We start from the raw sequence: 19,184 nt of genomic DNA, 5'->3' as shown, positions 1-19,184 counted from the left end.
ACTCTTTGCCCATCACTATGTACCAGATGGTATTGCCTAGGTTGTCTTCAGCGTTTTTATAGTTATGAGTTTTACATTTAAGTCTGCAGGCCATCTTGAGTTAATTTTTGTGTGTGGTGTAAGGGAGGGGTGTTGTCTTTTCACTCTGTTGATTGTTTTAATTGATATACAGAAGGAATTTAATTTAATATAATCCCATTTGTCTATTTTTGTTGCTTGTACTTTTTAAGCGTTAGCCATACAATCTTTGTTCTCAAGCGTTTCTCCTGTGTTTATTTCTAGTAGTTTTATAGTTGTGGCTGTTACATTTAAGTCTTTAACTGATTTTGAGTTTATTTTTCTAAGTGATGAGAGATAAGGGTCTAGTTTTATTCTTCTGTGTTTGGATATCTAGTTTTGCTGGCACCATTTAATGAAGAGGGTGTCATTTATTCAATGCATGTTCTTGACAGCTTTCTTGAAAATCAGTTAGCTGTAAATATGTGGATTCATTTCTGGATTCTTTAGTCTGTTTCCTTTGTTTTTGTGTCTGTTTTAATACCAGTACACGCTGTTTTGGTTACTATAGCTTTGTAATACATATATATATGTATATCTATATACACACACACATATATACTTATATATATACACGTATATATACATATATACGTGTATATATATACATATATACGTGTATATATACGTATATATACATATATACGTGTATATATATACGTGTATATATATACACATATATACGTGTATATATACGTGTATATATATACATATATACGTGTATATATATACGTGTATATATATACATATATACGTGTATATATATACATATATACGTGTATATATATACATATATACGTGTATATATACGTGTATATATATACATATATACGTGTATATATACGTGTATATATATACATATATAACGTGTATATATACGTGTATATATATACATATATACGTGTATATATACATATATACGTGTATATATACGTGTATATATATACATATATACGTGTATATATACGTGTATATATATACATATATACGTGTATATATATACATATATACGTGTATATATACGTGTATATATATACGTGTATATATGTACATATATATGTGTATATATGTACACATATACGTGTATATGTACACATACGTGTATATATGTACACATATACGTGTATATGTACACATATACGTGTATATATATACACATATACGTGTATATATACACGTATACGTGTATATATACACATATACGTGTATATATACATATAAATATATACATATATACGTACACACATATACATATATACGTATATATATGCGTATATACACACATATACATATATACGTATATATATGCGTATATACGTATATATACATACATACGTACATATATACATATATACATACATATATACGTACATACATATATACGTATATACACACACATATACGTATATATATACATATATATACAAATATATTTATACACACACACACACATATATATATATATATATATATATATATATTTTTTTTTTTTTTTCTTTTTGAGATGGAGTCTTGCTCTGTCGCCCAGGCTGGAGTGCAGTGGTGTGATCTCTGCTCACTGCAAGCTCTTCCTCCCGGGTTCATGCCATTCTCCTGCCTCAGCCTCCCGAGTAGCTGCTGGGACTACAGATGCCCGCCACCACGCCTGGCTAATTTTTTTTTTATTATTATTAGAGACGGGGTTTCACCATGTTAGCCAGGATGGTCTCGATCTCCTGACCTTGTGATCCACCCGCCTTGGCCTCTCAAAGTGCTGGGATATAGGCTTGAGCCACCTCGCCCGGCCTCTTTGCAGTATATTTTTAAATCAGGTAGTGTGAGGCTTCTAGCTTTGTTCTTTTTGCTCAGTATTGCTCTGGCTATTTGGGGTCTTCTGTGGTTCCATATGAATTTCAGGGTTTTTTTTTTTCCTGTTTCTGTGAAGAATATAATTGATAGGGATTGTACTGAATCTCTAGATTGCTTCGGGTAGTATGGTCATTTTAACAGTATTAGTTACTCCAACCCACGAGCATAAGATGCCTTTCCATTTGTTTGTGTCCTTCTCAGTTTATTTTATCAGTGTTTTGTGGTTTTCATTGTAGAGGTTTTTTGGGTTTTTTTTTTCCTCATCCTTGGTTAAGTTTATTCCTAGGTATTTTATTTTTGTAGCTATTGTAAATAGAATTTCTTCCTTGATTTCTATTTTAGCTAGTTTGTTACTGGTATATAGAAACATTACTGATTTTTGTATGTTGATTTTGTGTCCTGAAGCTTTACTGAATTATACATCCTTTTTTAAAAATGTTTTTTATTTTTTATTTTTTATTTTGTGAGAGAGTCTCACTCTGTTTTCCAGGCTGGAGTGCAGTGGTGCAATCTTGGCTCACTGCAACCTCCACTTCTCGGTTTCAAGCGATTCTCCTGCTTCAGCCTCCCAAGTAGCTGGGATTACAGGCACCTACCACCATGCCTGGCTAATTGTATTTTTCGTAGAGACAGGGTTTCACCATGTTGGCCAGGCTGGTCTCAAACCCCCAACCTCAGGTGATCCATCCACCTTGGTCTCCCAAAGTGCTGGGATTACAGGCATGAGCTACCATGCCCAGCCTAATTTATTTTAAGAGTTTTTTGGTAGAGTCTTTAGGTTTTTCTGTTTACAGGTATACGATTATGTCATTTGCAAAGTGAGACAATTGGACTTCCTTTTGTCCATTTGGATGCCTTTTTTTTCTTTATCTTGTCTGATCACTCTGGCTTGGATGTCCCATACTGTGTTGAATAAGAGTGGTGAAAGTGGGCATCCTTCTCTTGTTCCAGTTCTTAGAGGAAAGGCTTTTCAATTTTTCCCAGTGAGTAGGATGTTAGCTGTAGATTTGTCATATATGCCTTTTCTTAGGTTGAAGTGTTCCTTCTATGCTTAATTTGTTGAGAGTTTTCATCATGAAGGAATGGTAAGTTTTACTGAGTGATTTTTCTGCATCTGCTGAGATGATCAGATAGTTTTTGCCTTTCATCTTGTCAATGTGATGTATCACATGTATTGATTTGTGTATGTTGAGCCACCTTTGCATTCCTGGGATAAATCCCACTTGATCATGGTATATTATCTTTTTCATTCATCATTAGATTTGGCTTGGTAGTATTATGCTGAGAATTTTACCATCTGTGTTCATTAGGAATATTGGCCTGTAGTTTTCTCCTTTTGTTGTGTCCTTGTCTTGATTGGATATCAGGGTAATGCTGGCCTTATACAATGAGTTAGGAAGAATTCCTTCCTCTTCAATTTTTGGGAATAGTTTGAGAAGAATTGGTGTTTGTTTTTCTTTATAAATTGGGTAGAAATCAGCATAAAAGCCTAGTCTAGGGCTTTTCTCCTTTGGGAGACATTTTGTTACTGATTCAAACCTGCTATTCATTTTGGGTCAGTTCACGTTTTCTGTTTCTTCCTAGTTCAACCTTGGTAGGCTGTGTATGTCTGGGAATTTATCCCTTTCCTCTAGGTTTTCCAATTTGTTAGCATATGATTGTTCATAATAGCCTCTAATTATCCTTTTTATTTCTTTGGTAACACTTGTAATGTCTCCTTTTTCATTTCTGATTGTATTTATTTTGGTCTCTTTTTTTTTTTTTTGGTTAGCCTCACTAGTGGTTTATCAATTTTGTTTAACTTTTCAAAAAACCAACTTTTATCTTGTTGATTCTTTGCATTTTTTTTTGTCTCTGTTGCATTTGGTTCTGCTATGTTATTTATATTTTTTCTTTCTACTAATTGTGTGTTTGATTTGTTCTTGCTTTTTGAGTTCCTTGAGGTGCATCATTAGGTTGTTTATTTGAAATCTTTCTACTTTTTTAGTGTAGGCATTTATTGCTATAAACTTTCCTCCTAGTACTGCTTTTGCTGTATCCCATAGGTTTTGCATGATGTGTTTCCATTTTCTGTTTAAAAAATTTTTTTGATGTCCATCTTAATTTCTTCATTGACCCAATGATTATTCAATAGCATGTTTAATGTCCATATATTTGTACAGTTTCCAAATTTCTTCTTCTTATTGATTTCAAGTTTTATTCCTTTGTGGTCTGAGAAGATACTTGATATGATTTTAATTTTTAAAATTTTATTGAGCCTTGTTCTGTGTCCTAACATATGGTCTATCCTGGAGAATATTCCATGTGTTGATGAGATGATTGTATATTCTGCTGCTGCTGGATGAACTATTCTGAAAATATCTGTTAGGTCCATTTGGTCCAAAGTGCAGCTTAAATCTAATGTTTCTTTGTTGATTTTATGTCTAGATGAACTGTCCAATGCTGAGAGTAGGATATTGAAGTTCTCAACTATCATTTTATTGGACTCTATCTCTCCATGTAGATTTAATAATATTTGCTATATGTCTCTGGATGCGCTTGTGTTGGTTGCATGCATATTTGGAATTGTTATACTTTGTTGCTGAATTGATCCCTTTATTACCATATAATGATCTTGTTTGTCCTTTTTACAGTTTTTGACTTAAAGTCTGTTTTATCTGATGTAAGTTTAGCTACTCCTGATTATTTTTGATTTCTGTTTGTGTGGTATATCTTTTTCCATCCCTTCACTTTCAGTCTGTGTGTGTCTTTACAAGGGAAGTGATGTTGGGTCACTTTTTATCCATTAAGCCTGACTGTATCTTTTAGGTAGGTAATTTAACCCATATTCGAAGTTATTATTGATAGGCGAGGATTTATTCCTGTCATTTTGTTCATTGTTTTCTGGTTATTTTGTATATCCTTTTGATATGGTTTGGCTGTGTCCCCACTCAGATCTCATCTTGAATTCCCATGTGTTGTGGGAGGGACCCAATGGGAAGTAGTTGAATCATGGAGGCAGGTATTTCCCATGCTATTCTTTTAATAGTGAATAAGTCTCATGAGATCTGATGGTTTTAAAAGGAGGAGTTTCCCTGCTCAAGCTCTCTCTTTGCCTGCTGCCATCCCTGTAAGATGTGACTTGCCTCTCCTTGACTTCCGCAATGATTTTGAAGCCTCCCCAGCAATGTAGAACTGTAAGTCCATTAAGCCTCTTTCTTTTGTAAATTTCCCAGTCTTGAATGTGTCTTTATCAGCTGTGTGAAAATGGACTAATACAGTAAATTAGTACCAGAAGTGGGGTGTTGCTAAAAGATACCTGAATATGTGGAAGTGACTTTGGAACTGGGAAACAGGCAGAGGTTGGAACAGTTTGGAGGGCTCAGAAGGAGACAGGAAAATGTGGGAAAATTTGGAAGAGATTTCCTAGAGACTTGCCCAAAATGCTGATTGTTATATGGACAATAAAGTCTAGGCTTAGGTTGTCTCAGATGGAAATGAGGAACTTGTTAGGAACTGGCACAATGGTGACTCCTGTTATGTTTTAGCAAAGAGACTGGTGGCTTTTTGCCCCTGCTGTAGAGATTTGTGGAATTTTGAACTTGAGAGATTTAGGGTAACTGATAGGGTATTTGAACTTGAGATTTAGGGTATCTGATAGAAGAAATTTCTAAGCAGCAAAGCATTCAAGAGATGACTTGGGTGCTGTTAAAGGCCTTCAGTTTTATGAGGGAAGCAGAGCATGAAAGTTTGGAAAATCTGCAGCCTGACAATGCAATAGAAAAGAAAATCCCATTTTCTCAAGAAAAATTCGATCTGGCTGCAGAAGTTTGTTTAAGTAACGAGGAGTCAAATGTGAATCCCCAAGACAATGGGGAAAATGTCTCCAGGGCATGTCACAGGTCTTCATGGCAGCCCCTCCCATCAAAGGTCCAGAGGCCTAGGAAGAAAAGATGGTTTTGTGGGCTAGACCCAGGGACCCCTGTTGTGAGCAGCCTAGGGTGCCTGAGTCCTAGCCACTCCAGCTGCAGCTAAAAGGAGCCAAGGTACAACTTGGGCTGTGGCTTCAGAGGGTGCAAGCCCCAAGCCTTAGCAGCTTCCACATAGTGTTGAGCCTGTGGGTGCACAGAAGTCAAAAATTGAGGTTTGGGAACTGCTGCCTAGATTTCAGAAGGTGTATGGAAATTCCTAGATACCCAGGCAGGAGTTTGCTGCAGGGGCAGGGCACTCATGGAGAAACTCTACTAGGGCAGTGCAGAAGGGAAATGTGGGGTCGGAGCCCCCACATAGAGTCCCTACTGCAGCGCCACCTAGTGGAGCTTTGAGAAGAGGGCCACCATCCTCCAGACCCCAGAATGGTGGATTCACTGACAGCTTGCACTGTGTGCCTGGAAAAGCTGCAGACACTCAATGCCAACCCGTGAAAGGAGCCAGGAGGGGGGTTAAACCATACAAAGCCACAGGAGTGGAGCTGTGGCCTTTTTTCTCCCAAGGCCATGGTCATACATCAGTATGACCTGCATGTCAGACATGGAGTCAAAGGAGATCATTTTGGAGCTTTGAGATTTCACTGCCCCACTGGATTTTGGGCTTGCATGGGTCCTGTAGCCCCTTTGTTTGGCAATTTTCTGCCATTTGGAATGACTGTATTTACCCAATGCCTATACCCACATTGTATCTAGGAAGTAACTAACTAGTTTTTGATTTTACATGCTCATAGGCAGAAGGGATTTGCCTTGTCTCAAATGAGACTTTGGACTGTGGACTTTTGAGTTAATGCTGAACTTAGTTAAGACTTTGGGGGACTGTTGGGAAGGCATGATTGGTTTCAAAATGTGAGGATATGAGATTTGGGAAGGGCCAGGGGCAGAATGATATGGTTTGGTTGTGTCCCCACCCAAGTCTCATCTTGAATTCCCACATGTTGTGGGAGGGACCTGGTGGGAAGTAATTGAGTCATGGGGGCAGGTCTTTCCCATGCTGTTCTCATGATAGTGAATAAGTCTCACAAGGTCTGATGGTTTTGAAAAGGGTAGTTTCTCTGCAGAAGCTCTATCTTTGATTGCTGCCATCCATGTGAGACATGACTTGCTTCTTCTTGCCTTCCAACGTGATTCTTAGGCTTCCTCAGCTATGTGGAAGTGTAAGTCCATTAAACCTCTTTCTTTTGTAAATTGCTCAGTCTCAGTCAGGTATGTCTTTATCAGCAGTGTGAAAACAGACTAATACACCTTTGTTCCTTTTTTCTCTCATTATTTATGGTTGCAGTTTGGTGGTTTTCTTTAGTGGTGATGTTTGAATCCTTTCTTCTTTGTGTGTCTGAACTACCAGTGAGTTTTATACTTTCATGTATTTTCATGATGGTAGATATTGTTCTTTCACTTCCCAATGTAGGACTCCCTTAAACATTTCTTATAGGACCACAACAAACAAGACACAAACAAACAGTCTTTTGCTTATCTGGGAAATACTTTTTTCCCTTTTATTATTACTATTTTTTTTTTTAGCAATGGAGTCTCACTCTGTCACCCAGGCTGGAGTACAGTGGCATGATCATAGCTCACTGCAGCCTTGAACTCCTGGGATCAAATGGTCCTCCTGCCTCAGCCTTGAGTCTCTGGAATTGCAGATGTGAGCCACTGTGCCAGGCTCCTTCATTTGTGAAGGATAGCTTTGCTGGGTAGAGTATTTTTGGCTTACATTTTTTTATTATTTTTTTTTTTTGTACTTGTAATATACATCCCCTTTTCTCCTAGCCAGTAAGGTTTCTGCTGAGAAATTCCCCGTTAGCCTGATGGAGATTCTCTTATAAGTGACTTGATGCCTTTCTCTTGCTGTTTTTAGCATTTTCTCTTTGTCTTTTGACAATTTTACCATATTGTGCCTTGGAGAAGACCATTTTGAGTTGTATTTACTTGGTAATCTTTGAGCTTCCTGCATTTGGAAGCATTCAGGAAGTTTTCAGTTATTAGTTCATTAAATAGGTTTTCTATGCCTTTACCCATCTCATCTCCATCCAGAACTCCCAGAATTTCAGTTTTTGGTCACATATGTGTCCCATATGTCATGTAGCCTTGCTTCATTCTTTTTTCTTTCTTTTTGTCTGACTGGATTATTTTAAAAGACTAGTCTTCAGGTTCAGAAATTCTTTGTTTTGCTTGATCTAGTCTATTGTTAAAGCTGTCAATTATCTTTTGTATTTATTTCAATGATTTATTCTCTTCCAGGATTTGTGTTTGGTTCTTTGTTATGCTGTCTATCTCTGTTGAATTTGTCATTCAGATCATGAATAGTTTTCCTGTTTTTGTTTTTTTTTTTTGTATTCATTATCTGTGTTCTCTTGTATCTCCCTGAGTTTCTTTAATAACATCATTCTGAATTTTTTTCAGGTATTTCATAGATTTTCTTTTCATTGGATCTGTTGCTGGAGAATTATTGTGCTTCTTTGAGATGTTATGTTTCCTTTTTCATATTTCTTGCATCCTTATGTGACTATCTGTGCCTCTGACATAACAGTCATTTCTTCCAATTTTATGGATTGGCTTTTATATGGGAAAGACCTTTTCTTACAGCTGTATCTACAGTGTTCATTGGATATCACACTTTGGCTTTGATTCTGGGTGGGTACAGTAGTATAGTTTGCATATGATTCCTTCAGCTGTAATTGGCATGGGTGGTGCCTGTGAGTCATTCAGTGGCTTAGACTGCAGTGGTTTTTTTTGGTGGTTGTTGAGATGGAGTCTAGCTCTGTCACCAGGCTGGAGTGCAGTGGCACAATCTCAGCTCACTGTATCCTCTGCCTCCCGTGTTCAACCAATTCTCCTGCCTCAGCCTCCTGAGTAGCTGGGACTATAGGCACGTGCAACCATGCCCAGCTAAATTTTGTATTTTTAGTAGAGACGGGGTTTCACCATGTTGGCCAGGCTGCTCTCGAACTCCTGACCTCGTGATCTACACGCCTCGGCATCTCAAAGTGCTGGGATTACAGGCGTGAGCCACCACACTTGGCCAGACTGCAGTTGTTATTGGAGGCTTTGGTGAGGCTTTGCTGAGGATGGGGATGCCAGGAAGTCTTGTCCTTCAGCATCAGTGGTAGTGGCGGTGGACCAGGTGTGTCAATACTAGGGACCATGGGCAGCGTTTGTGGGCACTGATGATAGCCTGTCTGTGTGGGCCAATCCCTGGGACTCCAGGTGGCTTCTTTGGTTGCTGGCAGTGGGCCAGATGGGCAGGTGCACCACTGGGCTCCTGGGTGGTGTGTGTGGCAGGCTGATCTCTAGTTCTCCAGGTGACCTATACAGGTTCTGGTGGTGGGTAGGCAGGCGTTTCCTCAGGCCTCTCAGTAGTAAGTGTGAGCACCAGCTCTGGAGGCAGGTGAGTCAATCTCCAGGTCCCCGGATGGTACATTCAGGCACCAGCATATTCCTATGCATTTCTAGATAAAAGTATTTTTCAGAAAACCTGAGCATATGTCCTATTAATACAACTTACCCTCATCAGCTCTGCATGAGAAGAAGGCGGAATTCCCTCAGTAGAACAGTCAGAATGGAATCACAGACTTGTTTTGAGCCAGTCACTGGTGAGGGGGGGTAGGATAACATGATAAGCTCAGAATCTAAACCTTAGACTAGGGAATGGCAAACTTTTTCCATAAAGAGGCAAACGGTAATATTTTAGGCTTTTTGTCTAGATAACCTCTTTTGTAGTGACACAGTGGTGCCATCGTAGCCTAAAAGCGTATGTAGACAATGGATAAATCAATGGACCTGGTTTTATTCCAGTAAAACTTAATTTATACAGTCAGAGGGCCAGATTTGGCCCTTGGTCTATGGTTGTTTAGAGCAGTCAAAATTTATTCCCTGGGGCTGGGCCAACTTTTTCTTTAAAAAAAAAAAAAAAAAGCAACCCACTGTCAGAATAAAATAAGGTTTCTATTTAAAAAGAAGAAGAGGCTGGGTGTGGTGGCTCATGCCTATAATCCTAGCACTTTGGAAGGGTGAGGCAGGAGGACTGCTTGAAGCCAGGAGTTTGAAACCAACTTGGGCAATATAGTGAGACCCTCTGTCTGCAAAGAATAAAAAAATTAGCCAGGCATGGTGGCACATGTCTGTAGTCTTAGCTACATAGGAGGCTGAAGGGGAAGATCACTTGAGCCCAGTATTTTGAGGCTACAGTGAGCTCTGACTGTACCATTTGTACTCTAGCCTAGGCAAAGAGGGAGAACCCAAAAACAAACAAACAAAAAGTTGGTTTGGGCGGGTTGGAGAAGAAAGTATTTCTGAATTTCTGGGTAGGTTACTGGTAGTGTCAGGCCAAACTAGCTCTACAGTCATATTCATTATAAATAAAGGCAACTAGAAGATCTCCATCTAGCTATTAAAATTGGTTAAAATCTACAGAGATAAAGGACGGTGACTCTTGTGTCAGTTAGTTGTTGTCACAAAATGCTGCATAACAAGTCACTCCAAATCTCAGTGGCTTAATACAACAATCGTTTATTTTCATGGATCTATGGGTCAGCTGAGGATTGGTCAATCTAGCATGAGCATGTCTGGGAAGCTCGACGTTGCTCTTGCTGTCTCTTCTGCTGGAAGCAGCAGTCTGGCCTGGGCTTGTTCTCATGGTGATAGCAGGAGTGAGTGAGCAGAAATGAATTCACACTTTCCAAGTTTTTGGTCATACAGATTAATATTCCAGTGGCCAAAGCTAGACACATGACTAAACCCAACATTAGGGACTGGAGAAATATACTCCGATTCTTCAGTGGGAGGAACTGCAGAGACAAATGGCAGAATCTTGGATACAGGGAGGACACGGATCCATTAATGTGCCTTAATCAATCGCAACCCTCTAACCACCAATACAATTAAATAAGTATTTGTTGAATGCACTTGTGCCTGAATGCTTCTGGCTGCAGCCCAGGCAATGGGGGTCTGACTGGGGAGGGACCATAGCAGGGACTCGATGTCCTGCAGGTCTGCATGTAATTGTGCACGGCCGACTCCTCATTGGTCATGGCTGACTTGCTTTATCCTGCGTCCCCAAGGGGCAACGATTGGCTGATTATATTTCTGAACAATTTTGACAAAGTTGTTTTCAGGAGCCCAGGAAGCAAATCAGTTGTAGATTTGAATTTTTCAGGGGATCAGAATTGTTGAATATATATATAGTCTTTTACATGCTGATAATTATTTCCACATCACAAAGAAGGCTGGCTATTAGGAGGCTGCTGTTCATTTCCTTTGCCCCGTGAACTCATGAGCTGTGGCTATGTGGGGGGCACTCAGTTGTTAGAGCTGTTTCCCTTCATAATAACATCAGCCAACATTCTAAATAAATGCAGGAAATTAAATAGTCTTCCCCAGACAGGTACTTTGCCCTTCTAAAGTGAATTACACATTCTAAAATAAAACACAGTCACATTAAAAAAACAAAAGGTCTTTGTGTCAGGTTGGTCTGGCTTCAGCAAAGATAATATTTGCCTCCAGAGTAGAAGATCCGTGGAATCCACGGTATTACATATGGCAGCCCCACATCTTGTTTCCTTTTCTTTTTTTTGTTTTTAACTAAAAGAGTTGTCAATTTTATTTTCACATTTCCCAATACAAATGAAAACTGCATCTTTTTTGGTCCCACTTCTCCCCTCCAAAACTATTCTCTTTGATAGGGCAAGAGGGCAAGTCTTCCTTATGCTGTTAAGAAAACTCGACATCACAGCAGCATGATCTCCTGGTGAAGGGAGCAGGTAAATATAAAATTCATATAGGCCAGGCGCAGTGGCTCACACCTGTAATCCCAGCACTTTCAGAGGCTGAGGCGAGCGAGTCACGAGGTCAGGAGATTGAGACCATCCTGGCCAACATGGTGAAACCCCGTTTCTACTAAAATAAAAAAAATTAGCCGGGCATGGTGAATACGCCTGTAGTCCCACACTACTCAGGAGGCTGAGGCAGGGGAATCGCTTGAACCCGGGAGGTGGAGGTTTCAGTGAGCTGAGATCATGCCACTGCCCTCCAGCCTAGGCGACAGAGGAAGACTCTGTCTCAAAAACAAAACAAAACATTACAAACAAAAAAAACACAACAATAACAACAACAAAACAACACTGATGCAATGAGGCCTCCCCTCTATCCTTATCTGTCTGGTCAAGTCATTCTGGGCTGACTGGGCACCATCATGAGACGGGCAGGAGGTCTTATCATTGGGCACCCAGGCATCACAGGCATGTGGCCTCCCATGGGCGGCCTCATTCCAAGAGCAGGTCCCACTGGCATCATCCCAGGAGGAGGAGGGCCCATCTTTGGCATCATGGGCGGGCCACCCATATGGGCTGCTGCCATCATTCTGAAATGTGCGAGAAGTGTCAAATACACATTAGATTGTGAAGACTTAATATAAAAAGAAAGCAAAGTATTTTGTTACTGTTAAAAAATTTTATACATGTAGACCTGGTATTTTGGATAGATTTGTTTAAATCTGTGATATTATTCCAATTACCTTCACTTCTTTTGTTTTACTTTTTAAAATGTGGTTATTACAAAATGCAAATGTAAATATGTGGCTTGCATCATATTTCATCACATTTAGTGTGGACCCTGAGGATCTAGGGGAGTTATGAGCCTTAAGTTGAGGGTGACCCAGGTCAACGTGAATTGCTCTGAAAGAGAAGCAAAGGGCTTAAAGAGAATGTATAAATGGAGAGAGGGAGCTCAGTCTCACAGGGTGAGGAAAGGCTTTCTTTCTTACACAGTCTGGCACTTCTTCAAAAGCTTAAACACAGAGTTCTATGACCCAGCACTTCCACTCCAGTTTATGAAAGAAATGAAAATATATGTCCGTCCAGAAACTTGTACACAAATGCTCATAGCAGCATTATTCATAATAGCGCCAAAGTGAAAACAACACAAATGCTTGTCTACTGATGAGTGGAGAAATAGAACATGGTTTGATCATGCAATGGAATATTATTCAGTCATCAAAAGGAATGAAGTACTAACACGTGCTACAACACGGATGAACTATGAGAATATTAAGCTAAGTGGAAGAAACCAGTCACAAAAGGTCACATATTCTAAGATGTCATTTATATGAAATGTCCAGAACACGCAAATCTATGAAGAGAGAAACCCTGCCTCTACTAAAAATACAAAATTAGATGGGCGTGGTGGCACATCCCTGTAATCCCAGCTACTCTGGAGGCAGGAGAATTGCTTGAACCCGGGAGGCGGAGGTTGCAGTGAGCCGAGATTGTGCCACTGCACTCCAGCCTGTGACAGATACTCTATCTCAAAAAAAAGTAGATTGTCAGGGCTTAGTGGGAGGAGGAAATGGCAGGAACCTGCTCATGGATACAGGGTTTCTTTTTGGGGTGATGAAAATGTTTGAAAATTGATCATGATGGTGGTTGCCGAGCTCTGTGAATGCACTGAAACCATTGATTTGTTCACTTTAAATGGGCAAATCATACGGTACCTGAATTATATTTTAATAGTTATATTAAAAAAGTAAAATCTTCCTTGAAGTGATGACACTTAAGGAGAGGCCTAGAGGGTGGGATGAGTTCACTATGTAGAGAAATGAGGAACAGCATTTCAGGGTGAGAAACAGCATAGTGAAGTCCCTGAGGTTGATAGGCATAGAGCAGATTTAAGGGACTTTTTTTTTTGAGACGGACTTTCACTCTTGACGCCCAGGCTTGGGTGGAGTGGTGCGATCTTGGCTCATGGCAACCTCTGCCTCCCGAGTCCAAGCGATTTTCCTGCCTCAGTCTCCCGAGTAGCTGGGATTACAGGTGCCATCCACCACACCTGTCTAATTTTGGGATATTTAGTAGAGATGGGGTTCCACCATGTTGACCAGGCTGGTCTCGAACTCCTGATCTCAGGTGATCCAGCCGCCTCAGCTTCCCAAAGTGCTGAGATTACAGGTGTGAGCCACTGCGCTCAGCCAGATTTAAGGGACTTTAAAGAAGTTTGTGTGGCTGAAGCCTGCAGGCCAAGCGAGAGAATCAGGAAATGAGGCTGGAGAAAGAGAGGGGCTAGGTCATGGAGGGTCTCACATTAGGGTGTGGAAACTTCACACGAGTGGTCCCACCTTGGGCATCCCACCTAACTACTCTGTGTCCCAGCTTCCCCACTGGTGAAATAAAGGGCTGATGTAGGGATGGACTGAGATAGGGTGTGCTCAGTAAAGGTGACCTTTTATCTTTTTTTTTTTTTTTTTTTTTGAGATGGAGTCTCACTCTGTCGCCCAGGCCGGAGTGCAGTGGCGCGATCTCGGCTCACTGCAAGCTCCACCTTCCGCGTTCACGCCATTCTCCTGCCTCAGTCTCCCAAGTAGCTGAGACTACAGGCGCCCGCCACCACGCCCAGCTAAAATTTTTGTATTTTTAGTAGATACGGGGTTTCACCGTGTTAGGGAGAATGGTCTGGATCTCCTCATGTCATGATCCGACCGCCTTGGCCTCCCAAAGTGCTGGGATTACAGGCGTGAGCCACCGCGCCCGGCCGAGCTTTTATCGTTGTCAACCCACACAGCAGAGGGAGCCATTGAAAGCGAGTGATCGGTTTGGATGCACCTTCTGAAGTGATCGCTTTGGTCCCTGTGAGGAGTGCAGATTGTCACAGGGCCAGGGGAAGACAGAGGCCAATGAGGAGGCCTTTGCAGTCAAACAGCTGGAGGTGATGGTGGCTTGGTTTATGGTGGTGTCAGGAGAGTGGCTGAGCAGTGAACGGATCTGAAAAGATTTAGGAGGTAAAACCCACGTGACTTGGTCACTGAATGTGGGTTGGGTTGGCTGGAGGGAAGGTAAGAAAGAATGAGAAGAAAAACATACTCAAGTGGGCCCTCCAGCCTAAGGTTACTTGAAGTCCCTTTGTGAAGAGGAATGTTTGTGTTTATGATGAAGATGTCTAGACTTTCAAAGGCCATTTGCAGTATTTTTTTAACAGCCAACAACTCCTCCTTCCCTATGACCTAAACATATGAATTTTTTTTTTTTTTGCCCTAACTTATCACAGAGGGATGGATGTTTATTTGCTTTAATGAAAAATGCAGAATGCCAATAAGAAAGCATATTAAATTAATCTGGATTGCTGGGAGGGAGTTAAATCTGTTTCGATGTGCACCAGTGTTACTATACTAGTTTGGTCTAAACCCATTTCTGGCCTGCGGCTGCAGGAGGTTGACTCCCAGCTTGCTTTCATTTGAAAGATCCTAGCAACAAGTACACTTGGCATTTCCAGCCAAACCCACTTTGTGCAGCGAAGGAAAAGTTGAGGAGTGCCTCTGTTGTTTTCCCCCAAATCATTTGGCAGAAATGTGGCTGGGAGCTTCATTGCTGATTTTTTCAGTTTTAATATTGCTGTGGAAAGCCTGTACCAACACTCAGCCATGTTATTAATCCACAGCTCCAGTCTGGGCTGTGATTTGTTTTTCCTTTGAGTGACACAACCTTTTTTTCCATTAAGACTCAATGCAAATAGACACTCATGCACCATCACCATAACTCCCCCTGATTGGCGGAGGGAAATCAGTGGAATGATTCTAGTTTGGTGTTCATATCGGAGGGTTTTATTTATCTATTTTGAGACGGAATCTCTCTCTGTCGCCAGGCTGGAGTGCAGTGGTGCGATCTCGGCTCACTGCAACCTCTGACTCCCTGGTTCAAGCGATTCTCCTGCCTCAGCCTCCCTAGTAGCTGGGCTTTCAGGCATGTGCCACCATGCCCGGCTAATTTTTTGTATTTTTAGTAGACACGGGGTTTCACCATGTTGGCCAGGATGGTCTTGATCTCCTGACCTCGTGATCTGTCCGCCTCGGCTTCCCAAAGTGCTAGGATTACAGGCGTGAGCCACTGCGCCTGGCCTTGAGTTGTTTTTAAAAGCATATTTCTCTCAAATTATCTCCGGGGTGTCCCACTGTGACTTGGGAAAAGGTTGGATTTTCTGGAGGTGGAAAGTCAAACTTCAAATACAATTTGGAGGCTGCCACTGTGGCTCATGCCTGTAATCCCAGTACTATGGGAGGCTGAAGTGGGTGGATCATTTAAGGCCAGAAGTTCGAGACCAACCTGGGCAACATGACGAGACTTCGTTTCTACTAAAAATACAAAAATTAGCCAGGCGTGGTGGTACATGCCAGTAATCCCAGCTACTTAAGAGGCTGAGGCAGGTGTTATTGCTTGAACCTGGGAGGCAGAGTTGTCCTGTGTCCAAACCCCATGAGGCGTATCAGCTGGCTGAAGATAAAATCGGTCACGCAGTGTTGGGATTGGGGTTGCTGTTATCATCCCTCATCCCCACCCCTGCTAGGCATCCACAAATAGTCGTCTTCAATGAGACGTCCCTCCTGCCCCTGGCTGCCTTATTTCATCTGCACCCGATCGTATCCATTGCTTGTCAGTGGGTCTCAACCTTGGCTGCATCTTGGAATCTCCTGGGGAGAAGAGACAATACCAAGGCTCTCTCTCACTTAGCATGATGTTTCCAGGGTCCATCCACATGTAGTAGGCACCAATATTTCCATTGTATGGATACCGCACATATTGTTTGTTCATTCGTCAACCAAATGGCCATCTTGGTTGTTGCTACCTTTTGGTTATTATATATATTGCATGATTCCATTTATGTGAAAGGCCCAGAATAGGCAAATCTATAGAGGCAGAAAGCAGGTAAGTGGTTGCCAGGAGCTGGGGGAAAGGGGAGGGGATGGAGAATGCTTGATGGATACAGGGTTATTTTTTTGGGGGGCGGGGGTGTTAATGAAAATGTTTTGGAACTAGACAGAGATGATGATTGCTTAATATTGTGAATGTATTTAATGATACTGAAGTGTATGGTTTCATACAGGGACTTGTATGTTATGTGAATTTTGCCTCATTAAAAAAATACTGCTAGGAGCAATGGCTCATGCCTGTAATCCCAGCACTGTGTGAGGCCAAGGTGGGCAGATCACCTGAGGCTGGGAGTTCGAGACCTGCCTGGGCAGCACGGTGAAACCCTATCTCTATTAAAAATACAAAAATTAGCCAGGCGTGGCGGTGCACACCTGTGATCCCAGCTACTTGGGAGGCTGAGGTAGGAAAATGGGTTGAACCCGGGAGGCAGAGGTAGCAGTGAGCTGAGATCGCACCACTGCACTTCAGCCTGGGTGACAGAACAAGATTCCATCTCAAAAAAAAAAAAAAAAAAAAAACCACACACACACACACAAACCAAAAATACTGATGCCCATGTTTCATCCCCAAGAGATTCTTTAATAATTGATCTGGGCTGCAGAGCCCGGGCATTGGGGGTTTTAAAATCTCCCCAGGTGATTCTGATGTGCAGCTGTGGTTGAGAATCTCCTTCTGGAATGAACTTGTTCATGTTTTACTTGTGTTGTTTTCTAGCCTGCCAATGTCTTTCTGTTTCCGTTCACATCTTTGGGTTGTAATTTTTACAATGCAGTCTTAACAACCAGCTGCCTCAAAATGCACTGGGATCTCTCGTAACCAGGTAGCTCCCCATCTCTAACTCTGACCTGCTAAGACAGAATCTTGTGCGTGTGGCCCAGGACTGTACATATTGAAACAGGCAATGACCTGGGAACTATTTCTGAACACCCCTAGGTTTCCCGTGTTTGCCCTTTCCTTTCACATTTGGACCCCTTTGTGTGCTGACCACTGGGCTGTTTCACATGGACATAACATAAAAAAGACAGGCCAGGTGCATTGGCTCATGCCTGTAATCCCAGCACTTTGGAAGGCCGAGGTAGGCGAATCGCTTGAGGCCAGGAGTTCAAGATCTGCCTGGCCAACATGAGTAAACCCCGTCTCTACCAAAAATATGAAATTAGCTGGGTGCGGTGATGCACACCTTTGATCCCAGCTACTCAGGAGGCTGAGGCTGGAGAATCCCTTGAGCCCAGGAGGCAGAGACTGCAGTGAGCCGAGATCGCACCACTACACCCCAGCCTGGGTGAGAGTGAGACTCTTAAAAAACAAACAACAACAAAAAAAAAAAAACAAAGAGACAGAGATGATCCTTCCTTTATGGAGCTCTCAGTAAAACAAGAAAGCTCATGATGTCCTGTCATTTGTCAGAAATATATTTGGTATATGTAGCTGGGGTCACATGCTTGACATGCCTATTGAAAGCTTCTGGGTAGGAAGAGAACAATCATCACAGCATCACAGCCTGGCATAACTGTCTCCCAGGACAGGTCTCCCTGGGGAGACTGAAACCACAACTCTGAAATCAGAGCTTAAATCCAGGTTCTACATTTCACTCAGTAATGTACATGATGTAGGACAGTTTTCATATTAGTTATCTATTGCTGTGCAACAATATTACTGCAAACTTTGTGGCTTGAGACAGCACACAGTTATCACTATGTGGTTTCTGTGGGTCAGGAATCCAGGCGTGACTCAGCTGGGTTCAGTGCAAGGCTACAACCATAATGTCAGCCAGGGCTCAGTTCTCATCTGGAGGCTTGACTGGTGATTGATCTGCTTCCAGGCTCATCTGGTTGTTGGCAGCATTCAGTTCCTTGCAGGCTGCTGGACTCAGGGCCCCAGGTTCTTGCTGTCCTCAGCTTCTTGCCACATGGGCCTCTCCATCTGGCCACTCATGACATGGCAGCTCACATCTTCAAAGCCAGCAAGATAACCTCCTAGCAAGACAACTTAACATCCTATCTAACATAATCACTACATCCCATCACCTCTGCCATATTCTCTTGGTTATAAGAAAGTCATTGGTCCCTTTGTCAGATGAGTTGATTGCAAAAATTTTCTCCCATTCTGTAGGTTACCTGTTCACTCTGATGGTAGTTTCTTTTGCCGTGCAGAAGCTCTTGAGTTTAATTAGGTCCCATTTGTCAATTTTGGCTTTTGTTGCCATTGCTTTTGGTGTTTTAGACATGAAGTCCTTGCCCATGCCTATGTCCTGAATGGTATTGCCTAGGTTTTCTTCTAGGATTTTTATGGTTTTAGGTCTAACATTTAAGTCTTTAATCCATCTTGAATTGATTTTTGTATAAGGTGTAAGGAAGAGATCCAGATTCAGCTTTCTACATATGGCTAGCCAGTTTTTCCAGCACCATTTATTAAATAGGGAATCCTTTCCCCATTTCTTGTTTTTGTCAGGTTTGTCAAAGATCAGATAGTTGTAGATAAAGCGGCATTATTTCTGAGGGCTCTGTTCTGTTCCATGGGTCTATATCTCTGTTTTGGTACCAGTACCATGCTGTTTTGGTTACTGTACCTTGTAGTATAGTTTGAAGTCAGGTAGCGTGATGCCTCCGGTTTTGTTCTTTTG

At 41.6% G+C, this 19,184-nt stretch overlaps 2 long non-coding RNA genes across 3 annotated transcripts in view, besides 3 other annotated features; one reads left to right on the top strand and one right to left on the bottom strand.

Moving 5' to 3' along the window:
- The window catches only part of FAM86B2-DT (FAM86B2 divergent transcript), a 129,833-nt gene that overhangs the window by 5,437 nt on the left and 105,212 nt on the right, over positions 1-19,184 (bottom strand). Inside the window, exon 7 of one of the 2 annotated variants that reach the window (NR_040091.1) lies at positions 10,360-11,922. The exons of the other annotated variant lie outside the window; for it this stretch is intronic. This is a non-coding gene — a long non-coding RNA (FAM86B2 divergent transcript). Of the gene's footprint in view, positions 1-10,359; positions 11,923-19,184 lie in introns of those variants that run through there. 2 annotated transcript variants of the gene reach the window in all.
- Positions 1-19,184, top strand: part of LOC729732 (uncharacterized) — a 128,533-nt gene that overhangs the window by 104,203 nt on the left and 5,146 nt on the right. The gene's annotated exons all lie outside the window — the stretch shown is intronic.
- Positions 13,234-14,025: an enhancer, noted in NCBI's record as "H3K27ac-H3K4me1 hESC enhancer chr8:12404893-12405684 (GRCh37/hg19 assembly coordinates)". NCBI's record gives its function as "activates a minimal SCP1, AML or CMV promoter by ChIP-STARR-seq in naive H9 embryonic stem cells {active_cell/tissue: H9 hESC(naive)}" and the evidence as "EXISTENCE:reporter gene assay evidence [ECO:0000049][PMID:30033119]".
- Positions 17,241-17,741: an enhancer, noted in NCBI's record as "H3K27ac hESC enhancer chr8:12401177-12401677 (GRCh37/hg19 assembly coordinates)". NCBI's record gives its function as "activates a minimal SCP1, AML or CMV promoter by ChIP-STARR-seq in naive H9 embryonic stem cells {active_cell/tissue: H9 hESC(naive)}" and the evidence as "EXISTENCE:reporter gene assay evidence [ECO:0000049][PMID:30033119]".
- Positions 17,742-18,242: an enhancer, noted in NCBI's record as "H3K27ac hESC enhancer chr8:12400676-12401176 (GRCh37/hg19 assembly coordinates)". NCBI's record gives its function as "activates a minimal SCP1, AML or CMV promoter by ChIP-STARR-seq in naive H9 embryonic stem cells {active_cell/tissue: H9 hESC(naive)}" and the evidence as "EXISTENCE:reporter gene assay evidence [ECO:0000049][PMID:30033119]".

This window comes from Homo sapiens, chromosome 8 (assembly GCF_000001405.40).
Source record: "Homo sapiens chromosome 8, GRCh38.p14 Primary Assembly".
Classification (NCBI taxonomy): domain Eukaryota; kingdom Metazoa; phylum Chordata; class Mammalia; order Primates; family Hominidae; genus Homo; species Homo sapiens.
The sequence above is the reverse complement of the archived record's forward strand: the minus strand, read 5'-3'. Positions and strand labels throughout refer to the sequence as shown.